This window comes from Homo sapiens, chromosome 4 (genome assembly GCF_000001405.40).
Source record: "Homo sapiens chromosome 4, GRCh38.p14 Primary Assembly".
Taxonomy (NCBI): domain Eukaryota; kingdom Metazoa; phylum Chordata; class Mammalia; order Primates; family Hominidae; genus Homo; species Homo sapiens.
The window spans coordinates 86,874,448-86,893,907 of NC_000004.12; the positions used below are offsets into that span (position 1 = coordinate 86,874,448).

At 42.4% G+C, this 19,460-nt stretch overlaps 1 protein-coding gene across 20 annotated transcripts in view, besides 4 other annotated features; it reads right to left on the bottom strand.

Moving 5' to 3' along the window:
• Positions 1 to 1,757: 1,757 nt before the first annotated feature.
• Positions 1,758 to 19,460, bottom strand: part of C4orf36 (chromosome 4 open reading frame 36) — a 60,000-nt gene continuing 42,297 nt past the window's right edge. For 4 of the 20 annotated variants that reach the window (NM_001414640.1, NM_001414639.1, NM_001414641.1 and 1 more), the window contains 3 exons: positions 17,009 to 17,146; positions 13,674 to 13,828; positions 12,862 to 13,446 (listed from right to left, as the gene is read on the bottom strand). In NM_001414640.1, the coding sequence (NP_001401569.1) occupies positions 13,313 to 13,446; positions 13,674 to 13,828; positions 17,009 to 17,073 (354 nt within the window). In that variant the 5' untranslated portion in view covers positions 17,074 to 17,146 and the 3' untranslated portion in view covers positions 12,862 to 13,312. Of the gene's footprint in view, positions 1,997 to 12,861; positions 13,447 to 13,673; positions 13,829 to 15,600; positions 15,712 to 16,381; positions 16,543 to 17,008; positions 17,147 to 17,615; positions 17,976 to 19,460 lie in introns of those variants that run through there. The other 16 variants (NR_183020.1, NR_183021.1, NR_183019.1 and 13 more) reach the window with 15 other exon arrangements.
• Positions 17,387 to 17,446: a silencer, noted in NCBI's record as "silent region_15549". NCBI's record gives its function as "represses an Ori minimal core promoter by ATAC-STARR-seq in GM12878 lymphoblastoid cells {active_cell/tissue: GM12878}" and the evidence as "EXISTENCE:reporter gene assay evidence [ECO:0000049][PMID:35858748]".
• Positions 17,657 to 18,196: a silencer, noted in NCBI's record as "silent region_15550". NCBI's record gives its function as "represses an Ori minimal core promoter by ATAC-STARR-seq in GM12878 lymphoblastoid cells {active_cell/tissue: GM12878}" and the evidence as "EXISTENCE:reporter gene assay evidence [ECO:0000049][PMID:35858748]".
• Positions 17,657 to 18,372: a biological region, named in NCBI's record as "H3K27ac hESC enhancer GRCh37_chr4:87813317-87813972".
• Positions 17,717 to 18,372: an enhancer, noted in NCBI's record as "H3K27ac hESC enhancer chr4:87813317-87813972 (GRCh37/hg19 assembly coordinates)". NCBI's record gives its function as "activates a minimal SCP1, AML or CMV promoter by ChIP-STARR-seq in naive H9 embryonic stem cells {active_cell/tissue: H9 hESC(naive)}" and the evidence as "EXISTENCE:reporter gene assay evidence [ECO:0000049][PMID:30033119]".

A 19,460-nucleotide genomic window follows, 5' to 3' on the forward strand; every position in this document is an offset into this window, starting at 1 on the left:
GTGGATAGGAACTATCTATTATGAACAGGACCTCACCAGGCATCTGCTGACTCCTTGATCTTGGACTTTCCAGTTTCCATAACTGCAAAAAATAAATTTCTGTTTTGTATAAACTACCCAGTTTATAGTATTTTGTTTTATCAGCCCAAATGGACTAAGACAATAGTCACAATAATGTTAACATTTAATACTGATCTAAGACAAATTATAATATAATCTAATGACATGTTTAGAGGGAAAAGGAAATATTCTACACCTGTGGTAAGGTTAAGAAAAAAAATAGGCCGTGCACGGTGGCTCACACCTGTAATCCCAGCATTTTGGGAGGCTGAGGCGGATGAATGACTTGAGGTCAAGAGTTTGAGACCAGCCTGGCCAACATGGTGAAACCTGGTCTCTACCAAAAACACAAAAATTAGCCGGGTGTGGTGGCACGTGCCTGTAATCCCAGCTACTAGGGAGGCTGAGGCAGGAGAATCACTTGAACCCGGGAGGCAGAGGTTGCAGTGAGCCAAGAGTGTGCCATTGCACTCCAGCCTGGGCAACAAAGTGAGACTCCGTCTCAAGGAAAAAAAAAAAAGAAAAAATGTTATCATCTATACTGGGAAGTCAATAGATTGTGCCTAGAAAGAAAAGAAAAAAAAAACAAACAAACAAGAAGTAGTAATACCGACGTGGTATTTCCAGTTTTCGAGTCATGGAGGTAAATAACAACATAGGTAAAGTACGTGAAATTAGTTGACTCTGTAGAGGTAGAAATGAGTGGTAGTGGTATAGAAAACTATTATTTTATTTTATTTATTTATTTATTATTTTTTTGAGATGGAGTCTCGCTCTGTGGCCCAGGCTGGAGTACAGTGGCGAGATCTCGGCTCACTGCAACCCCCACCTCCCTGGTTCAAGCAATTCCCCTGCCTCAGCCTCCCGAGTAGCTGGGATTACAGGCGCACACCACCATGCCCAGCTAATTTTTTTGTATTTTTAGTAGAGACAGGGTTTCACCATGTTGGCCAGACTGGTCTCCAACTCCTGACCTCAGGCGATCCATCCACCTCAGCCTCCCAAAGTGTTGGGATTACAGGCGTGAGCCACTGTGCCTGGCCTATTTTATTTTAAGACAGGGTTTTTTTCTGTTGCCCAGGCGGGAGTACAGTGATGCAATCATAGCTCACTGTAACCTCGAATTCCTGAGCACTCAAGGGATCCTCCCACTTTAGCCTCCCAAGTGGCTGGGACTACAGTCATGTCTGGCTGATTTTTTTTTTTTTTTTTTTTTTTGCTTTTGTAGAGATGGGGTTTCACTCTTTTGTTCAGACTGGTCTTGAACTCTTGGCCTCAAGAGATCCTCCCACCTCAGCCTCCAAAAGTGCTGGGATTACAGGCATAAGCCACCATGACCAGCTTGGAAACTACTGTTTTAAAAAACAAATCTTTATTTGAAATACATTTACAGAAGCCGGGCAGAGTGGCTCATGCCTGTAATCCCAGCACTTTGGGAAGCCAAGGCGGGTGGATCACCTGAAGTCAGGAGTTCAAAACCAGCCTGGCCAACATGGCAAAACCCCGTCTGTACTAAAAATACAAAAATTAGCCAGGCGTGGTGGCTTGCGCCTCTAGTCCCAGCTACTCAGGAGGCTGAGGCATGAGAATCACTTGAACCCAAGAGGCGGAGCTTGCAGTGAGCTGACATTGTGCCCCTGCACTCCAGGCAACAGAGTAAGACTCGGTCTCAAATAAATAAATAAATAAAAATAATATAAAATAAAATACATTTATAACTGGCAATGTTTAAAAAGAGAAACAAACTGAGTTCCACTGAAATTAAGAGATTTTCTCGGTCTCTGGGCGGGCCGTGGGAGGCTTCCTGAGGTGGGGGCCGGGCCAGGATGGCTGCAGCGCAGCGACGGCCGGGGCCGGGAGCGGGTCCTGGGCGGCCCAGGAGAAGCAGTTCCCGCCGGCGCTGCTGAGTTTCTTCATCTACAATCCGCGCTTCAGGCTGCGCAAAGGAGAGGGGGAAAATAAGATTTTATTTTATCATCCAAATGAGGTAGAAAAAATGAAAAGATTAGAAATGTCGGATTGTGTGAAGCTATTGTACAGTTTACAAGGACCTTTAGCCCATCAAAACCTGCAAAATCTTTACATACACAGAAGAACAGACAGTTCTTCAATGAACCAGAAGAAAATTTCTGGATGGTCATGGTATTTACATACACAGTGTATCTTTCTGAAATTGTATGGTGAAGCTATGGGTGATCTTTACTATTCAGAATTTAGGAAAGTTCTCTGGCTGTTGCATCCAAGTAAAATTAAAATAAAATTGGTTGCAATTTTAAAATAAAAAAAAAGAGATTTTCTCATGGATATACAACTAATTGGGACAGGGAAGACTCTAGAACCCAGATCTACTAAAACCTAGAGTTTTCTCTCTATTACTATCTTATCTAAATCTGATTTTTAAGAAATCAAAACTAACAGCAACAATGCCAGATATATTGCGCAGTAGATTTGCGGACTTTAGATTTTAAAATATTTACAGTTTTCAAATAAATTATTGGAAGTATTATCCCTGAGACTAGATGGATTAGTGACAGTAACCCTAAAAAGAAAGAGTTCAGGCCGCTCAGTGGGATGTGGACTACAAAAATAAAAATACAGCATGAATCTTTTCACAGTCCAAAACATATGTTGATACAGCTGGAGATTGTTAATTTTTAAAGAAAATTGAATTGGTTTTGATTTCCAAAGAAATGAAAACACACTAAATTTCTGCTAACAACTATCTTTGGTTGTGTAATCGTAAAATGGTCTTTTTCCACATTTTAACCAGTTAACAATCCAGCTCTAATATTTATGATAATTACTGAGATGGAGGAAATTTAGTCAAAATGTCAGAAAGAACAAATAGGAGAGGACAGGTATGTAAAGGAAGTGGGAAGAAAGAGTAGAGTGGGTAATCTGGTGAAAGCTCCAACTCCCAGACTTTCAGCCAAGAAACTTTGGGAATGTTTCTGGTTGGCAGATCAGAGTCTTACACAGAGCACACTGGAATTTTATGAGGCAAATTTGGACTAGGAATGTTGATGTTCCACCTTCTCAAGTCACACAGCCAAGGCTATATACAGAGCCTGGGTTCCTGACAACTTTTTTCAGGGATGAGGATCACTAAATCAAATGAGTCACTCACATCAAAACTCCTGACACAAAGTGCTCTTCATTTGTGCCATATGTCACAGATAGAAGAAAATATCGGGATAATTCAGATAATGGCTTCTAAATATGTCAAAGCAGCAACCACCAGACACAACTCCTTACTCTGAGGTTAAACTATGGACCTACATGGATTATAACCCCCAGGATGCTTTGATTGTTCCGCACCTTTATAAAATTGGAAATCTACATTTATAAAATCTGCATTTCTATAATTACAGATGTACTGATATGCTATCTAGAATTTACTTCAAAATAACCCAATGGTGGGAACTGGGGTGTGGAAAGTGAGTGAGTATAAGTGAGATAAAATTGGCCGTGAGTTGATAAGTGCTGGAGCAAGGTGATAGAGACATAGAGATTCATTTTCTTATTCTTACTACTCTTGCATGTTTGAAATTTTCCACAATAACGAGTTGCATGTGTTTTTTTTTTTCATCTTTATTATCAGATTCTCTAAAAAAATTGGAAGATCTTCCCCTTGGGAAAATCAAACTGGAAGATTATCCCCTCAATGCCACTCTAGCATGGCACCGACAGACTGGAGCTGAGTGGCTGCTGCCCCTTTGGAGGAGGCGCATGCTCTCCCCTTCTCCAGTCTCTGCACTCCCTGTATGGCTTCACTGGACCATTTTGCTCATTTATGCTACTGACTCGATATTGGAATGCATAGGTTTGTAACCTCAAAGTTATCCATAACCCCCAAATCCCAGAGTGATAGCAATGTATCAAAAATTTTATATTTGCAGAGTGATATCAGTAAGGTGGCAGAATAGGAAGCCTCAGATCCTCACTCACCAAGGAAGACACTGACTTAACAATATACAAACCAAACTGCTTTAGTAAGAACTCCAGAAACAAGTTAAGAGGTTGCAGCACCTCAGCAAGTGCATTGAAATGGGTAGGAAAATTCATGGCATTTTACCTGCCCTAGCCATTCCTTCTCCCGTGCACAAGGTGGCACAACCAGGAGAAAAATTCTAACCCCATTTTTCCTCAGGAGTGAAAGAGATGAATGCACTGTTTATCCAACATTCTGGTTTTTCGGGGATGCTGCTCAAGGACTGGGTTCTATCTTACCTGACTTGGAACAGTGACCAGAACAGCAGTTTGGATGCCAAGTTGGGGGGCCACTGGGAACAAAGGCAAGCTCCACAGTTTGTTACAGCACTGGAGAGAGTGTAGTACCACAGACAGACACCAGGAAAAGCAAAAGATTATGAGCTCCAGTGAAGAAGCAAGTAAACCTTTTTTAACTGGGAAGTTATACACACAAGCCCAGAGAAGATGCATTCCCAGAAAGGTTTGGGAGGTCGCCATACACTCTAGCCAGGCTGACTGGTGAAGACCCTCCCCTGCATGAAGCCAATGTCTAAAGACTGGGAGAGGTAGCTGTTTTTTATTTGGTTTGGGGGGTTTTGGTTTTTTTGTTTGTTTTTTGTTTTTGTTTTTTGAATGCCCAAAGCTCAACAAAAGGGCACAAGGCCTACAAAGAAACAGGAAAACATGGCCTGATCAAAGTAACAAAATAAATTTCCAGAAACCAACCCCCAAAGAAACGCAGGCCTATGATTTACCTGACAAAGGATTCAAAATAAACATCTTAAAGATGCTAAGTGAGCTAACAGAGAAGATAAACAACTAAAAATCAGGAAAATGATACATGTACAAAATGAGAATATCAACAAAGTCATAGAAACCATTTTTTAAAATCTGGAGCTGAAGAATACAATAACTGAATTTTAAAATTCACTAGAGGAGTTCAACAGGACACTTAAGCAGAAAAAAGAGTCAGTGAATTTGAAGTCAGATCACTTAAAATTATTGAGTCAGATAAGCAAAAAGAAAGAATGAAGAAAAGTGAAGAACGCCAAAAATACTTATAGAACACCATCAAACAGACCAATATATGCATGATGGGAGACCCAGAAGAAAAGGGAGAAAGGACTAGCAAGCCTACTTGAAGAGATAATGGCCAAAATCTTCCCAAATTTGAGGAAGAAAATGAACATACCAATTCAAAAAGCCCAACAAACTCCAACTAGGATAAACCAAAGTGACCCAAACCAAAACACATTATTATCAAACTGTAAAATGTCAAAGACAAAGAGAGAATCTTGAAAGCAGCAAGAGAAAAGTGACTCATCACATACTAGGGAGATCTTATTAGACTATAAGCAGTTTGTTTTGTTTCTTTTTTTTTTTTTTTTTGAGATAGGATCTTGCTCTGTCACCCAAGCTAGAGTGCAGTGGCATCATCATAGCTCACTGCAGCCTCGAACTCCTGGGCTCAAGCAATCCTCCTGCCTCAGCCTCTGGAGTAACTGTGACTATAGGCACACACTACCATGCCTGGATAATTTTCTTTTTATTTTTTGTAGAGATGAGGTCTCACCGTATTGCTCAAGCTGTTCTTAAACTCCTGGTCTCAAGCAATCCTCCCACCTTGGCCTCCCAACCTTCTGGGATTACAGGTGTGAACCACTGAGCCCAGCCTACCAGCAGATTTTTTAGCAGAAACCCTGCAGGCCAGGGCAAAGTGTGGTGGCTCCCACCAATACTCCCAGCACCTTGGGAGGCCAAGGTGAACAGATCAGTTGAGGTCAGGAGTTCGAGACCAGCCTGACCAACATGGTGAAACCCTGTCTCTACTAAAAATCCAAAATTAGCCAGGCGTGGTGGTGCTACTTGGGAGCATGAGGCAGAGAATTGCTTGAGCCCAGGAGTTGGAGGTTGCAGTAAGCCAAGATTGCGCCACTGCACTCCAGCCTGGGTGACAGAGCGAGACTCCGTCTCAAATAAAAGAAACCCTCCAGGCCAGAAGGGAGTGAGGTAATATATTTGAAGTGCTAAAAGGGAAAAAACTGCCAACCAACAACACTATGTGTGGCAAAACTGTCCTTCAAAAATTAAAAAGAAATTAAAACTTTCCCAGATAAACAAAAGCTGAGGAGGTTCGTTACCACTAGGCCTTACCCCTACAAGAAATACTAAAGAGACTCCTTCAAGTTGAAACAAAAAGACACTAGACAGCAACATAAAACCATAGAAAAATATAAAGCTTTCTGATAAAGGTAAATATGTAGATAAAATGTAGAATTAGGCCAGGTGCAGTGGCTCATGCCTGTAGTCCTAGCACTTTGGGAGGCTGAGGCAGGCAGATCACCTGAGGTCAGGAGTTTGAGACAAGGCTGGTCAACATGGCAAAATCCTGTCTCTACTAAAATTAGCTGGGCATGGTGGCACATGCCTGTAATCCCAGCTATTCAGGAGGCTGAGGCAGGAAAATTGCATGAACCCAGGAGGTGGAGGTTGCAGTGAGCTGAGATCACACCACTCGACTCCAGCCTGGGCAACAGAGTGAGATTCCGCCTCAAAAAAAAAAAAAAAAAGGTTTCTCTATCTATATATAAAATTCTATAGTATTGTAAGTAGTGTAATGTTGTTGTGTAGATCACTTTTAAGTTTGGCATAGAATCTAAAATACAAAAGCATGAAAAATAACTATAAATTATGTTAATGAATACACAATATAGAAAGATGTAATTTCTGACATCAATACCAAAGTAGGGGAAAGTGGAGATGTAAAGAAGTAGAATTTTTGCATGCCACTGAAGTTGAATTGTTATCAGTTTTAATTAAATTGTTATAACCTTAAAATGTTTTACGTAAAAATGGTATATTTGTTCATTCTGACCTTTGTCTTGAACTGTTTTAGTCCCATATTCAATCATATCATGGCTATCTCCTGATTTTTAAAAAGTATCCTATCTTAAAAAGAATACCAAAAAAATTAGCCACGCATGGTGGGACCATAGGCAGCTATAGTCCCAAGTAGCTGGGATTGCTTGAACTTAGGAGTTCAAAGTTGAAGCGAGTAATGATCATGCTACTACGCCCCAGCCTGGGCAACAGAGCCAGATCCTGTCTCTAAAAAAATTCTTTTAATTAAAAAAATTAAAAATAAGAATGCAACAATCAAGTGCATTCTATTGTGGATCTTTCACCATCTGAAATTTTCTTTTTTTTTTTTGAGATGGAGTTTCACTCTTGTCTCCCAGGCTGGAGTGCAATGGTGTGATCTTGGCTCACTGCAACCTCCACCTCCTGGGTTCAAGTGATTCTCCTCCTGCCTCAGCCTCCCAAGTAGCTGGGATTACAGGCGCATGCCACCATGCCTGGCTAATTTTTTGTAGTTTTAGTAGAGACGGGGTTTCACCATGTTGGCCAGGCTGGTCTTGAACTCCTGATCTCAGGTGATCCACCCATCTCAGCCTCCCAAAGTGCTGGGATTACAGGCGTGCGCCTCCATGCCCGGCCCTGAAAATTTTCAATCAATGATCGTCTATTGAGTGCCTATATGAGTTATGCATTGGAGCACTAACATAAGAAAGCATTCCTTTCCTGCTCTTAAGGCATTTCAAGAGAGGGAGAGACATATACACATATTACTGAATTTTGCAATGTAATTTTATTTCAATATGTGCAGTTTTCAGAGGTTCAGAAACACCTGCCTAAAATCATGATTAAGAGAATCTTAAAGCTGGAAGCAGGACTCTTCTCTCAAGAAAATCATGAGGAACCAAAGCTTTCTCAAATTCCATCTTTTCTCAAGGAATATTAAAATATTTTATTCTGGCAAACTTTTTACAGATACACGTTTCATTCATTTTCAACATTATGAAAAAGAATGTGTGATCTGAGAGACCAGAACAGATGCCTCTTTATCAACTAAGATGGCCCACAAGGTTAAGGAAATAAAAATTATTATGGTGTCAAGGGCTCAGGGCTCAGTTGGCATGACAACTTCCTAAATTCCTACCCCTAGAAGAAAAAGCACACTCTTGCTAAATTCCATAACAACAGGAGCTATCACAGCCCTCCTGACCTTGATTTACATCCCACACCACTACAACTCTGATTGAGCAGAGGACTAACCTTACAAACCTTCTTTTCTGAAAAGCAACTACAGACCTTAAGCCAGTTTCTGCCAGCTTATAGAGGCTGCTCATGAACTGTGTCTGTGCCCTGTAGTTCACTTTTGATATAGAGCCAAACTCCACCTTATTTTAATGCTAAAACCCCACCCCAAAGTGAACATGGGAAGTATGTTACATATATGTTTGCCCATTGCACATGTGCTTGACTACCTTCATACATATGTATAGCTTTCCCCCCAAAACCTGCTGAATATGTATTACTTTACTGTGTGATACACGCCCTGGGAGGCCTAAAACCCAGCCTGCCCTTTCCCTCTTCGAAGAAAGAGCACCTTCAGTCCACTTCAGAGACTCTCTTCCCAATTCGCAAACTGATATCACCAATAAAACTCTCCTTTCTAATATTTAGCCATCCTGATGGTCTTTTGGACAACAGATGGAAGCATATTACTTATACCCACAATTAATGCCACTAACTAAAAGTGCCAGGTTGTGAGTGAGGTGTGACATGCTTAGGGCTCCCTGGTGGCTCCAGAGGACAGACCACAAAATGATATCTGTGCTTCTGGGTTACACAGTGGGGACATCAGGATGTGACATTTTTGCACACAAATTCTCCATGCTACTTTTAAGAGAAAGACATAAGTGACAAGTTGATTATCAGGGATTATGATTTTTAAAGAGAAATGATCAGGATTTGCCATAGGTACAGTGGCCATATTTTCAACTAAAAATTCAGGTCAGATAGTTTGGCAAGTAGTACATATATATTGTAAGAATAAAACCAAATTTTTTAAATTTCAAGACTCCTGGTCTGCACAAAGATCAAGAGAATCAGCCCAATATAATATATCTTCTATACCTAGATTACAATGATAGTGATACTCACAGTAATGTCTAACACTAGAGTAATTCTCATTGTGTGCCTGGCAGTTTTCATTTAATCTTAAGAAGTAGGTATACCTGTATTATCCCCATTTTACAAATGAGAAAACAAACACAGAAACAAGGTAACTTATCCCAGCTCACACAGCAATAAGCAGCTGAGCTATGATTTGAAGAAAGGCACCCAGGTCTAAAGTCTATATTCTTAAACAGTATGCCACAGTGCCTTTCATAATGAAATGAAGCTAAGATACTAGAAGATCAGCCAGGCGCGGTGGCTCACACCTGTAATCCCAGCACTTTGGGAGGCCAAGATGGGCAGATCACTTGAGGTCAGAAGTTCGAGACCACCCTGGCCAACATGGTGAAATCCCATCTCTACTAAAAAATACAAAAATTAGCTAGGTGTGGTGGTGCATGCCTGTAGTCCCAGCCACTCGTGTTACTGAAGCATGAGAATTGCTTGAACCCAGGAGGCAGAGGTTACAGTGAAACTTCCACTCCAGCCTGGGTGGGAAAAAAAAAATACCAGAAGATCCTAAAATGCCTACTGAATCATCTAAAAAATACTAAACTGTGCTCAAATGTAACATTAATATCCAAGTGTGCTTTATTGGATTCAAATGCTAGAAAAATTATTCATCCAAATCCAATACTTTCCAGTTGATCAATTCCCCATCCCCCATCCACTCTGTGTTTTCCTCATAAGACCTTCTGTGTATTTTCATGTCACTTTCACACAAGTATGTGTGTTCCATATGCTTCAGGGTCATTCCAGATAGAAAATAAGAAATTAGGCAGAAGGAAAAAGACTGAATTTTTTTTTTTTTTTTTTTTTTTGAGACACGTTCTCACTCTGCTGCCTTGGCTGGAGTGCAGTGGCATGATCACAGCTCAATGCAGCGTCAAACTACTAGGCTCAAGGGATCCTCCCATCTCAGCCTCCTGAGTAGCTGGGACTACAGGCACACAGCACCATGTTCAGCTAATTTTTTAATTTTTTGTGGAGACCGGGTCTCCCTATATTGCCCAGGCTGGTCCCAAACTCCTGGGCCCAAGCGAGTCTCCCACCTCAGCCTCCGAAAGCACTGAGATTTATAGGCATAAGCCATCACCCCCAGCCTGACAATTTTTTTTAGGAGAACAAAAACAAAGTGAGTTCTACTTGCTACTTTAAAGCACCACATGTGAATATTCAATGATGTTTCATTGCAAATTGGAAACTAGATCCCATTTGTCAATTTTGGCTTTTGTTGCCATCGCTTTTGGTGTTTTAGACATGAAGTCCTTGCCCATGCCTATGTCCTGAATGGTGTTGCCTAGGTTTTCTTCTAGGGTTTTTATGGTTTTTAGGTCTAACATTTAAGTCTGTAATCCATCTTGAATTAATTTTTGTGTAAGGTGTAAGGAAGGGATCCAGTTTCAGCTTTCTACATATGGCTAGCCAGTTTTCCCAGCACCATTTGTTAAATAGGGAATCCTTTCCCCATTGTTCGTTTTTGTCAGGTTTGTCAAAGATCAGATAGTTGCAGATGTGTGGTATTATTTCTGAGGGCTCTGTTCCATTGGTCTATATCTCTGTTTTGGTACCAGTACCATGCTGTTTTGGTTACTGTAGCCTTGTAGTATAGTTTGAAGTCAGGTAGCGTGATGCCTCCAGCTTTGTTCTTTTGGCTTAGGATTGACTTGGCAATGCGGGCTCTTTTTTGGTTCCATATGAACTTTGAAGTAGTTTTTTCCAATTCTGTGAAGAAAGTCATTGGTAGCTTGATGGGGATGGCATTGAATCTATAAATTACCTTGGGCAGTATGGCCATTTTCACGATATTGATTCTTCCTATCCATGAGCATGGAATGTTCTTCCATTTGTTTGTGTCCTCTTTTATTTCGTTGAGCAGTGGTTTGTAGTTCTCCTTGAAGAGGTCCTTCACATCCCTTGTAAGGTGGATTCCTATGTATTTTATTCTCTTTGAAGCAATTGCGAATGGGAGTTCATTCACGATTTGGCTCTCTGTTTGTCTGTTATTGGTGTATAAGAATGCTTGTGATTTTTGCACATTGATTTTGTATCCTGAGACTTTGCTGAAGTTGCTTATCAGCTTAAGGAGATTTTGGGCTGAGACGGTGGGGTTTTCTAGATATACAATCATGTCATCTGCAAACAGGGACAATTTGACTTCCTCTTTTCCTAACTGAATATGCTTTATTTCTTTCTCCTGCCTGATTGCCCTGGCCAGAACTTCCAACACTATGTTGAATAGGAGTGGGGAGAGAGGGCATCCCTGTCTTGTGCCAGTTTTCAAAGGGAATGCTTCCAGTTTTTGCCCATTCAGTATGATATTGGCTGTGGGTTTGTCATAAATAGCTCTTATTATTTTGAGATACGTCCCATCAATACCTAATTTATTGACAGTTTTTAGCGTGAAGGGCTGTTGAATTTTGTCGAAGGCCTTTTCTGCATCTATGGAGATAATCATGTGGTTTTTGTCTCTGGTTCTGTTTATATGCTGGATTACGTTTATTGATTTGCGTATGTTGAACCAGCCTTGCATCCCAGGGATGAAGCCCACTTGATCATGGTGGATAAGCTTTTTGATGTGCTGCTGGATTCAGTTTGCCAGTATTTTATTGAGGATTTTTGCATCGATGTTCATCAGGGATATTGGTCTAAAATTCTCTTTTTTGGTTGTGTCTCTACCAGGCTTTGGTATCAGGATGATGCTGGCCTCATAAAATGAGTTAGGGAGGATACCCTCTTTTTCTATTGATTGGAATAGTTTCAGAAGGAATGGTTAAACTAAAGAGCTTCTGCACAGCAAAAGAAACTACCATCAGAGTGAACAGGCAACCTACAGAATGGGAGAAAATTTTTGCAACCTACTTATCTGACAAAGGGCTAATATCCAGAATCTACAAGGAACTCAAACAAATTTACAAGAAAAAAACAACCCCATCAAAAAGTGGGCAAAGGATATGAACAGACACTTCTCAAAAGAAGACATTTATGCAGCCAACAGGCACATGAAAAAATGTGCATCATCACTGGCCATCAGAGAAATGCAAATCAAAACCACAATGAGATATCATCTCACACCAGTTAGAATGAGGATCATTAAAAAGTCAGGAAACAACAGGTGCTGGGGAGGATGTGGAGAAATAGGAACACTTTTACACTGTTGGTGGGACTGTAAACTAGTTCAACCATTGTGGAAGACAGTGTGGCAATTCCTCAGGGATCTAGAACTAGAAATACCATTTGACCCAGCCATCCCATTACTAGGTATATACCCAAAGGAATATAAATCATGCTGCTATAAAGACACATGCACACGTATGTTTATTGTGGCACTACTCACAATAGCAAAGACTTGGAACCAACCCAAATGTCCAACAATGATAGACTGGATTAAGAAAATGTGGCACAAATGCACCATGGAATACTATGCAGCCATAAAAAATAATGAGTTCATGTCCTTTGTAGGGACATGGGTGAAGCTGGAAACCATCATTCTCAGCAAACTATCACAAGGACAAAAAACCAAACACCGCATGTTCTCACTCATAGGTGAGAATTGAAAAATGAGAACACTTGGACACAGGAAGGGGAACATCACACACGGGGGCCTGTTGTGGGGTGGGGGTATGGGGGAGGGATAGCATTAGGAGATATACCTAATGTAAATGATGAGTTACTGGATGCAGCACACCAACATGGCCCATGTATACATATGTAACAAACCTGCACGTTGTGCACATGTACCCTAGAACTTAAAGTACAATAAAAAATATATATATTTAAAAAAAAGAAAATTGGAAACTAGGGAGGTACTAAAAATGAAGTCTATTATTTTTCTTAACCAAATGAAATGTTTCAGTTTATCATTTTTAAGAGAATTTCTCTCTTGCCTTCTTTTGGTCCCTCCTTGGGATCTCAAAGATGCATATTTAAGATGTCTTTTGAAAACAATGCAGCTGAAGAAATTTCCTCTTCTTTTAGTGCAATTTTACAAAAATTAAAATGAATAGCACAAACGACTCAACTCCAAATGCATTTTCATCTACTTACAGTGCTGTCGTTTGTGACACAAGGAACAAGAGTATGTCAGGGACTCAGAAGATCTGTCAGAACTGGGTACTAACCCACAGCTGTGGGCAGTGGCCCATCCACCAGTGGGCATTCAAATATCTGCCCTGAACTATACATAGTGAAAGGTCCAGAGACCTTCATGCCCTTTGGATGCAAGACACAGAGTACAGATTCAATCATGAACTGACTGTCATTTAGATGGAAGAGGTCTTCTCAAACCGGCTGGCCTTTCCCTCAGGAGAAGCTGAATTTCCTTAGATGTATTTTCTTGACACTTCAGTTTACAAAGACGCTTCACTTCATACTCCCTTTCGAGTTTGATAGCTGAAAAAGAAAATACACAAAACAATCTGACATACATTTTTCATCAGGCATAACTAAGTCAAAACTGAATATCATACAGCAAAATCCATATGCCTGAATAATAAACAAGATGACAGAGCTACAAAGATAGGAGGTATGGGTGTAAATACACAGATTTAAACATTTCTCTGATAAGCAAATGGCACACTGAATTTATAACTTATTAAAGCAGAACTTAAGGAACTTACATTCTGCAGAAGGGAGCAGTCCATCTTTAATGGTGGTACATTTTGTGAGCTGCACAGAACCACCAAATGAAATTTCTTCCAAGAAAGGCAACTTGATATTGGCTAGGTTTGTGGACCAGGTCTTTGCAAGCAATGCAATATCCCAAGGTTCCTGTCTGGGGCAAAAATTCATTAATCCATTCAATAAATATTGATTAAGCACCTACTATGTGAGATGTAGAAGACATTAATTCTCAGTTCCATTTGCCACTAGACATTTTGGTTTATGGGTGGAGGGGGAGATGTTCAGAATTTTCCAGAGTTGTAGTTCCAGACAGGAGAGGGAGATTTATATTAACTAATATAGAGATAATACTGAACAATGACCAGAAATTACACCAGGAACTTTGATTCAGCCTCCATGAAGTCAATCCATTCTTTCCATGTAAGAGGATGTAGATAAGAACTGTAAGCTCCAGAGTCTTTTATAGCTCATAAAAATGTGGTCATATTGAAGAAGGAAAGAAGGGCATAATCATACATTGAGCAGGGTGCTTGGCACAGACTAAGGTTTTGAGTGTGCAATCTGGGAATGGGGATGAAATTCCAAACTACAAATTCAAAATAACCACTATGAACCTTTAAAAATTGTTCTCTTTCACCTAATTCTGAAATTTGAAAATATCAGCTACATGTTTCTCATCTGCAGTCAATATGAGTTCAGCCTCATATGCATGAAGAAAGTGAAAGACCTGCTTTGGTCCAAGCAGGGGAAGTGACCATATTACACCAGCCACCCCTTTGTTTACCTGTTCCACCTTCCCCATCCTTTATCATCTAACTTTCAGGAGTGACTTAGAGTCTACAATTATTATAGATGTACCTGAACAAGTCATAAAAATGTATAAGAGTGTTCATTGAAGTGTTGAAGTGTCATTCGTTTAAACAAACAAACAAAAAAACATGGAGGCCGGGCATGGTGGCTCACGCCTGTAATCCCAACACTTTGGGAGGCTGAGGTGGGTGGATCATCTGAGGCCAGGAGCTCAAGACCAGCCTGGCCAACATGGTGAAATCCCGTCTCTACTAAAAATACAAAACTTAGCTGGGCATGGTGGCGGGCGCTTGTAATCCCAGCTACTTGAACCCGAGAGGTTCTGAACCCAGCTTGAACCCGAGAGGCGGAGGTTGCAGTGAGCTGAGATCATGCCACTGCACTTCAGCCTGGGTGAGAAGAGCAAAACTCCGTCTCAAAAAAAAAAAAAAAAATGGAAATAATCTTAATATCTATCAAGAAGAGCCTGATTAAACAAACTGTAGTACAAACATGTAATGAAAGAATAAGGATTGTGTCGATTTGGAAAGATAAGCAATAAAACAGTTATTGTTTACATAGCACCTACTACTAGGCACTGTTTTAAGCAATTTACACACATGAACTCATGTAATTACTGCAACAACCATATGAAAGAGGCAGGTGCTACTACTATCCTCAGTTTACAGATTAGAAAACTGAAGAGTAGGCTGGGCATGCTGGCTCATGCCTATAATCACAGCACTTTGGGAGGCAGAGGCAGAGGCAGAGGCAGGAGGATCGCTGGAGGCCAGAAGGCCAAGACCAGCCCAGGTGATGTGATGAGATCTCATCTCCACAAAAAAATCAAAAAATTAGCCGAATGTGGTGGCACAGGCCTGTGGTTCCAGCTACAAAAGAGGCTGCGGCAGGAGGATCACTTGAGCCCAGGAGGCTAAGGCTGAGACTGCACTGAGGTGATAGAGTGATACCCTGTCTTGATAAAAAATAAAGATCTCCAGCCGGGCATGGTGGCTCATGCCTGTAATTCCAGCACTTTGGGAGACCAAGGTGGATCACTTGAGGACAGGAGTTTGAGACTAGCCTGGGCAACAAAGTGAGACCCCATCTCTACCAAAAATAAAACAAACTCACCGGGCACAGTGGTGTGTGCCTGTGGTCCCAGCTACTCAGGAGGCTGAGATGGGAGGATCACTCAAGCCCAGGAGGTGCACAACATTCCAGCCTGCGTGACAGTGTGAGACCCTGTCAGGAAAGAAGGAAAGAAGGGAGGGAGGGAGGGAGGGAGGGAGGGAGGAAGGAAGGAAGGAAGGAAGGAAGGAAGGAAACTGAGGTGCAGAGAACAACTTGCCCAAGGTCACAAAGCCATTGGTTGTGAAGTTGGGATCTGAACCCAGGAAGTCAGACTCCAGAATTAGTGCTCTTACCTATTAGGCTATACAAGATATATTAGGAAGGGGTGGGCAGAGCAAAGTTCAATATGATTCCATGTGTTAAAAAGACATATGTGTGTGTATACATGTGTGTATGTGTCTTGTGTAGCAATGCACATACACAATGCAAATAAAATAATAATAATAATAATAATAATAATAATAATAATAATGACACTTACTATAATGGTACTTGCCCATAGTTCAAGGTCTAAATACGTACTAAACTGACAAAACTAAACAGAATGCAACAGTGAGTTTTCTCTGAATTTCTTATAGCTCTGGTTTTATAATCCCGTAGGGAATCCTCATTTACTTCACAGAATATTGTTTAAAAGACAAATTCAGCTGATGCCTAATCAAACGTTTAAGAAAGGAAAAGACTGCACTACAATACCACAGAGTAAAACTACTGTGTGGTTGCAACACGTGCTCACTATGCGTTCACTGGATGACAGGCAATGTGCAAGTACTTCACATACACGACTTCATTTATAATCCACACCGCATAGCCAATTGTTATATGCATCTTGCAGATGCAGAGATCAAGGTACGAAGAAGATGGCCTTAGGGAGCTGGGGGCAGGGCCAGGCTTGGAGCCCACGTCTTCTTGATTGGAAAGCATGTGTTGTCCATCCACTGCCTGCCAAAGTATACAGGATATAAAAGCGACCCTTTGTACCAGCTAATTAGGTGCTCTGTTAAGATACATCTGACACCAGGGCATTTTTTTGGTAGACGTGGAGTATCTAAACAAAGTTTTTTTAAAGTTGTGGGTGGAAGCAGAAAATGCTGTCTTGGAACAAAAAGACTCCGAGTCTAGCCTTTGCATTTCCTTACTACAGGACTGTGACTTTGATCAAACTTCTCTGAACCTCAGTTTTCTCACTTGAAAGTGTTGTGTTGTAAAGACCAAGTAAGATAATTAACTTATAAAAGCAGTTGCCAAAAAAAAAAAAAAAAAAAATCAGATCCCAGACACCTCAAAATACTTCACATAGCCCAGTATCTCATGGGGAGCACAGAGTGTCCAGTCCTTTTATTTAACAAAGACACTCCCCACCGCAGTCAATGCTTACCCTGATTTAAAAAAAAAAAATAGTACTTACACATTATAACAACTGCCCCGCAAAATGGTTTTCACTGTGTTCTTTCTTGGCACTCCATACGCCATGGTGAGTTATTACGGTATGATTTCGTTACATAGGTGCCTGATGGAATGTCACAGATAACTCTGTTCACTTTACCTGAAATGATGGCAACGCACCTAATTAATGCCTCTCACGTGAATATTTTGTAGCCAAATAATAGAAAAAAATTCTGAATGTCAGAAAGTCCTTAATAAGTGTTCATTGAACTGGAACCCCAAGTGTAAAACCGTGTTCTCTTTCATTTTTCCATGAACTCATTTTTTCATTTTTTGCCACCGAATAAGGAGAAAATGCCAGGTAAGTTTCGTCATCCTGAGACAAAGTTTCGGTGTCGCACTCTCTGCCCTTGCCTGAGCCTGCCAAACCAGCTCCAACACCGCTGCGCCAAAATGTGTCTGATCGTGGCAGTGCTGAGCGACCAAAGGCTCTGCCTGCACAGGAACCACCCGCCCCGGCCCGGGCACTTTGAGCAGAGCAATCCTTCCCAGGTTTTCCCTCATTCAAAACACTCAGCACCACTCCCGCGTCCCCGCCCTTGCACGCCGATTCGGGGCGAGTCCCCTACCCTTCCCCGGACGGACGCGCAGGGCCCGGGAGGAACTGGTTCCCGGGACGGGTGGGGGCCTCGGCCGCCCACAGAGCCCGCGGAGAAGGGAACGGCCTCAGCCTCGGCTCCTTCCCACACCTGGGCCCCACCCTGCCTCCGACTCGCCAGGAATGCGCTGTGTGCGCGGGGCTTCCAGGGTGGCGGGTCCCCGCGAGCCGGCGCCGGCGGCCTGGTTACCCGGGCTCCAGGGGCTCGGAGGGTCGCGGCCGGGGTACTGAGGTAAGAGCGCGCTGCGCTAAGCGCACATGGCCGCGCACACGCCTCGGGGCCGCGCCGCAGGCACACGCCTCCTTCCCGCTCGCCGCGGGCGCCGAGTCTGGGGCTCCTCGCGTCACACGGGAGCCTCAACAAAGGGCTTTGTGGGGCCCTCCCCACCCGCCAGGGAGGGGACGCCGGGCCCGGGAGACGCGCCCCGCGGGGTCCGCTCTCTGGTAACCGGGCCGGGGCAGGCCGCGCTCTCGGAATCCAGCCAACCAGCCAGAGAGGGCTGTAAGCCAGACCTTTCCTGGGAAGGACGCTTTCCAATGTAGGGGGCTGCATCCAAGCGATCTGGACTTCGTTTGCGGGCGCCATTTAAAGAAATGTACCCAGTCCTGGCTGCTGACATCTGGGGAACCGAAGCCCTGTTGCCAGCGTTCTCACACTGCAGTGGGTGAAGGCAGTGAGCTCAAAGCCCACGTGTGATATTTTAGGTGTTCGTGTTCAGAGCAAGACAGCATCAATTTCTAAAGCCGTTATTACGCTGTGGTGATTTCGTATTTCTTCATTTGAATACATCAGATGGCCACCCCTTACGGTCAAATGAAACGAGCTTACATTTCCATTTTGAGTGAGGGTTTTGATGTCAGAACTGGTTTGGAATTCTAGCTCTGCCACTTAAGATTTAACCTTAAGATTTCGCATGTCACTGCTCTAAGCATCAATTTCTTCATCTATAAAACAAGGATAATGCTCTATGTCTTAGAGGGTTGTTCTGAGGATGAAAGATCCTGCCCTGAGATTCTCCGCCACGTGATAAATGCCTAATTGATTGTGAGCCTAAAAACAACTTTATGAAATAGGTAAGAGCGATACTACTCATTTCAATTGTGGAGCCGACGAATGAGTTCAGGGTGGTTAAAGGGCTGCCCAGAGTCACATGGCAAGTTCCAAAGCCAACTTTTAAAGATAAACACAGATGGGCCAGGCACGGTGGATGGGCCGGGCGCGTGTCTCACGCCTGTAATCCCAGCAATTTGGGAGGCCGAGAGGGGCAGATCACGAGGTCAAGGGGTTCGAGACCAGCCTGGCCAACCGACATGGTGAAACCCTGTCTCTACTAAAATGCAAAAATTAGCTGGGCGAGGTGGCGCGCGCCTGTCGTCCCAGCTATTCAGGAGGCTCAGACAGGAGAATTGCTTGAACCCGGGAGGCAGAGGTTGCAGTGAGCCGAGATGGCGCCACTGCATTCCAGCCTGGGCAACAGAGACTCCATCTCAAAAAAAAAAAAAAGATAAAACACAGTAACCTTTCCATCTGACAAGCAACTTCTGATCCTTCTGATTAGAGTAGGCTCGCAGGGCTGACCCATCTTTCAAAGGTGCTTTTGTGCCTCCCAGAAACTGGAAGGTGAGGACTGTCACTCGCTCTTCAGCATTTCTGCTCTACCACCAATGAAAAGTGAGCACCGAGGAGTGACAGTGGGTGTTTTCTTTCCACAAAGAATGTTGAAACCCTCAATGGACTGTGAGACCAGTGTACTACAGATTTTGGCCTGAATTTTTATTTATTTATTTATTTATTTATTTATTTATTTATTTATTT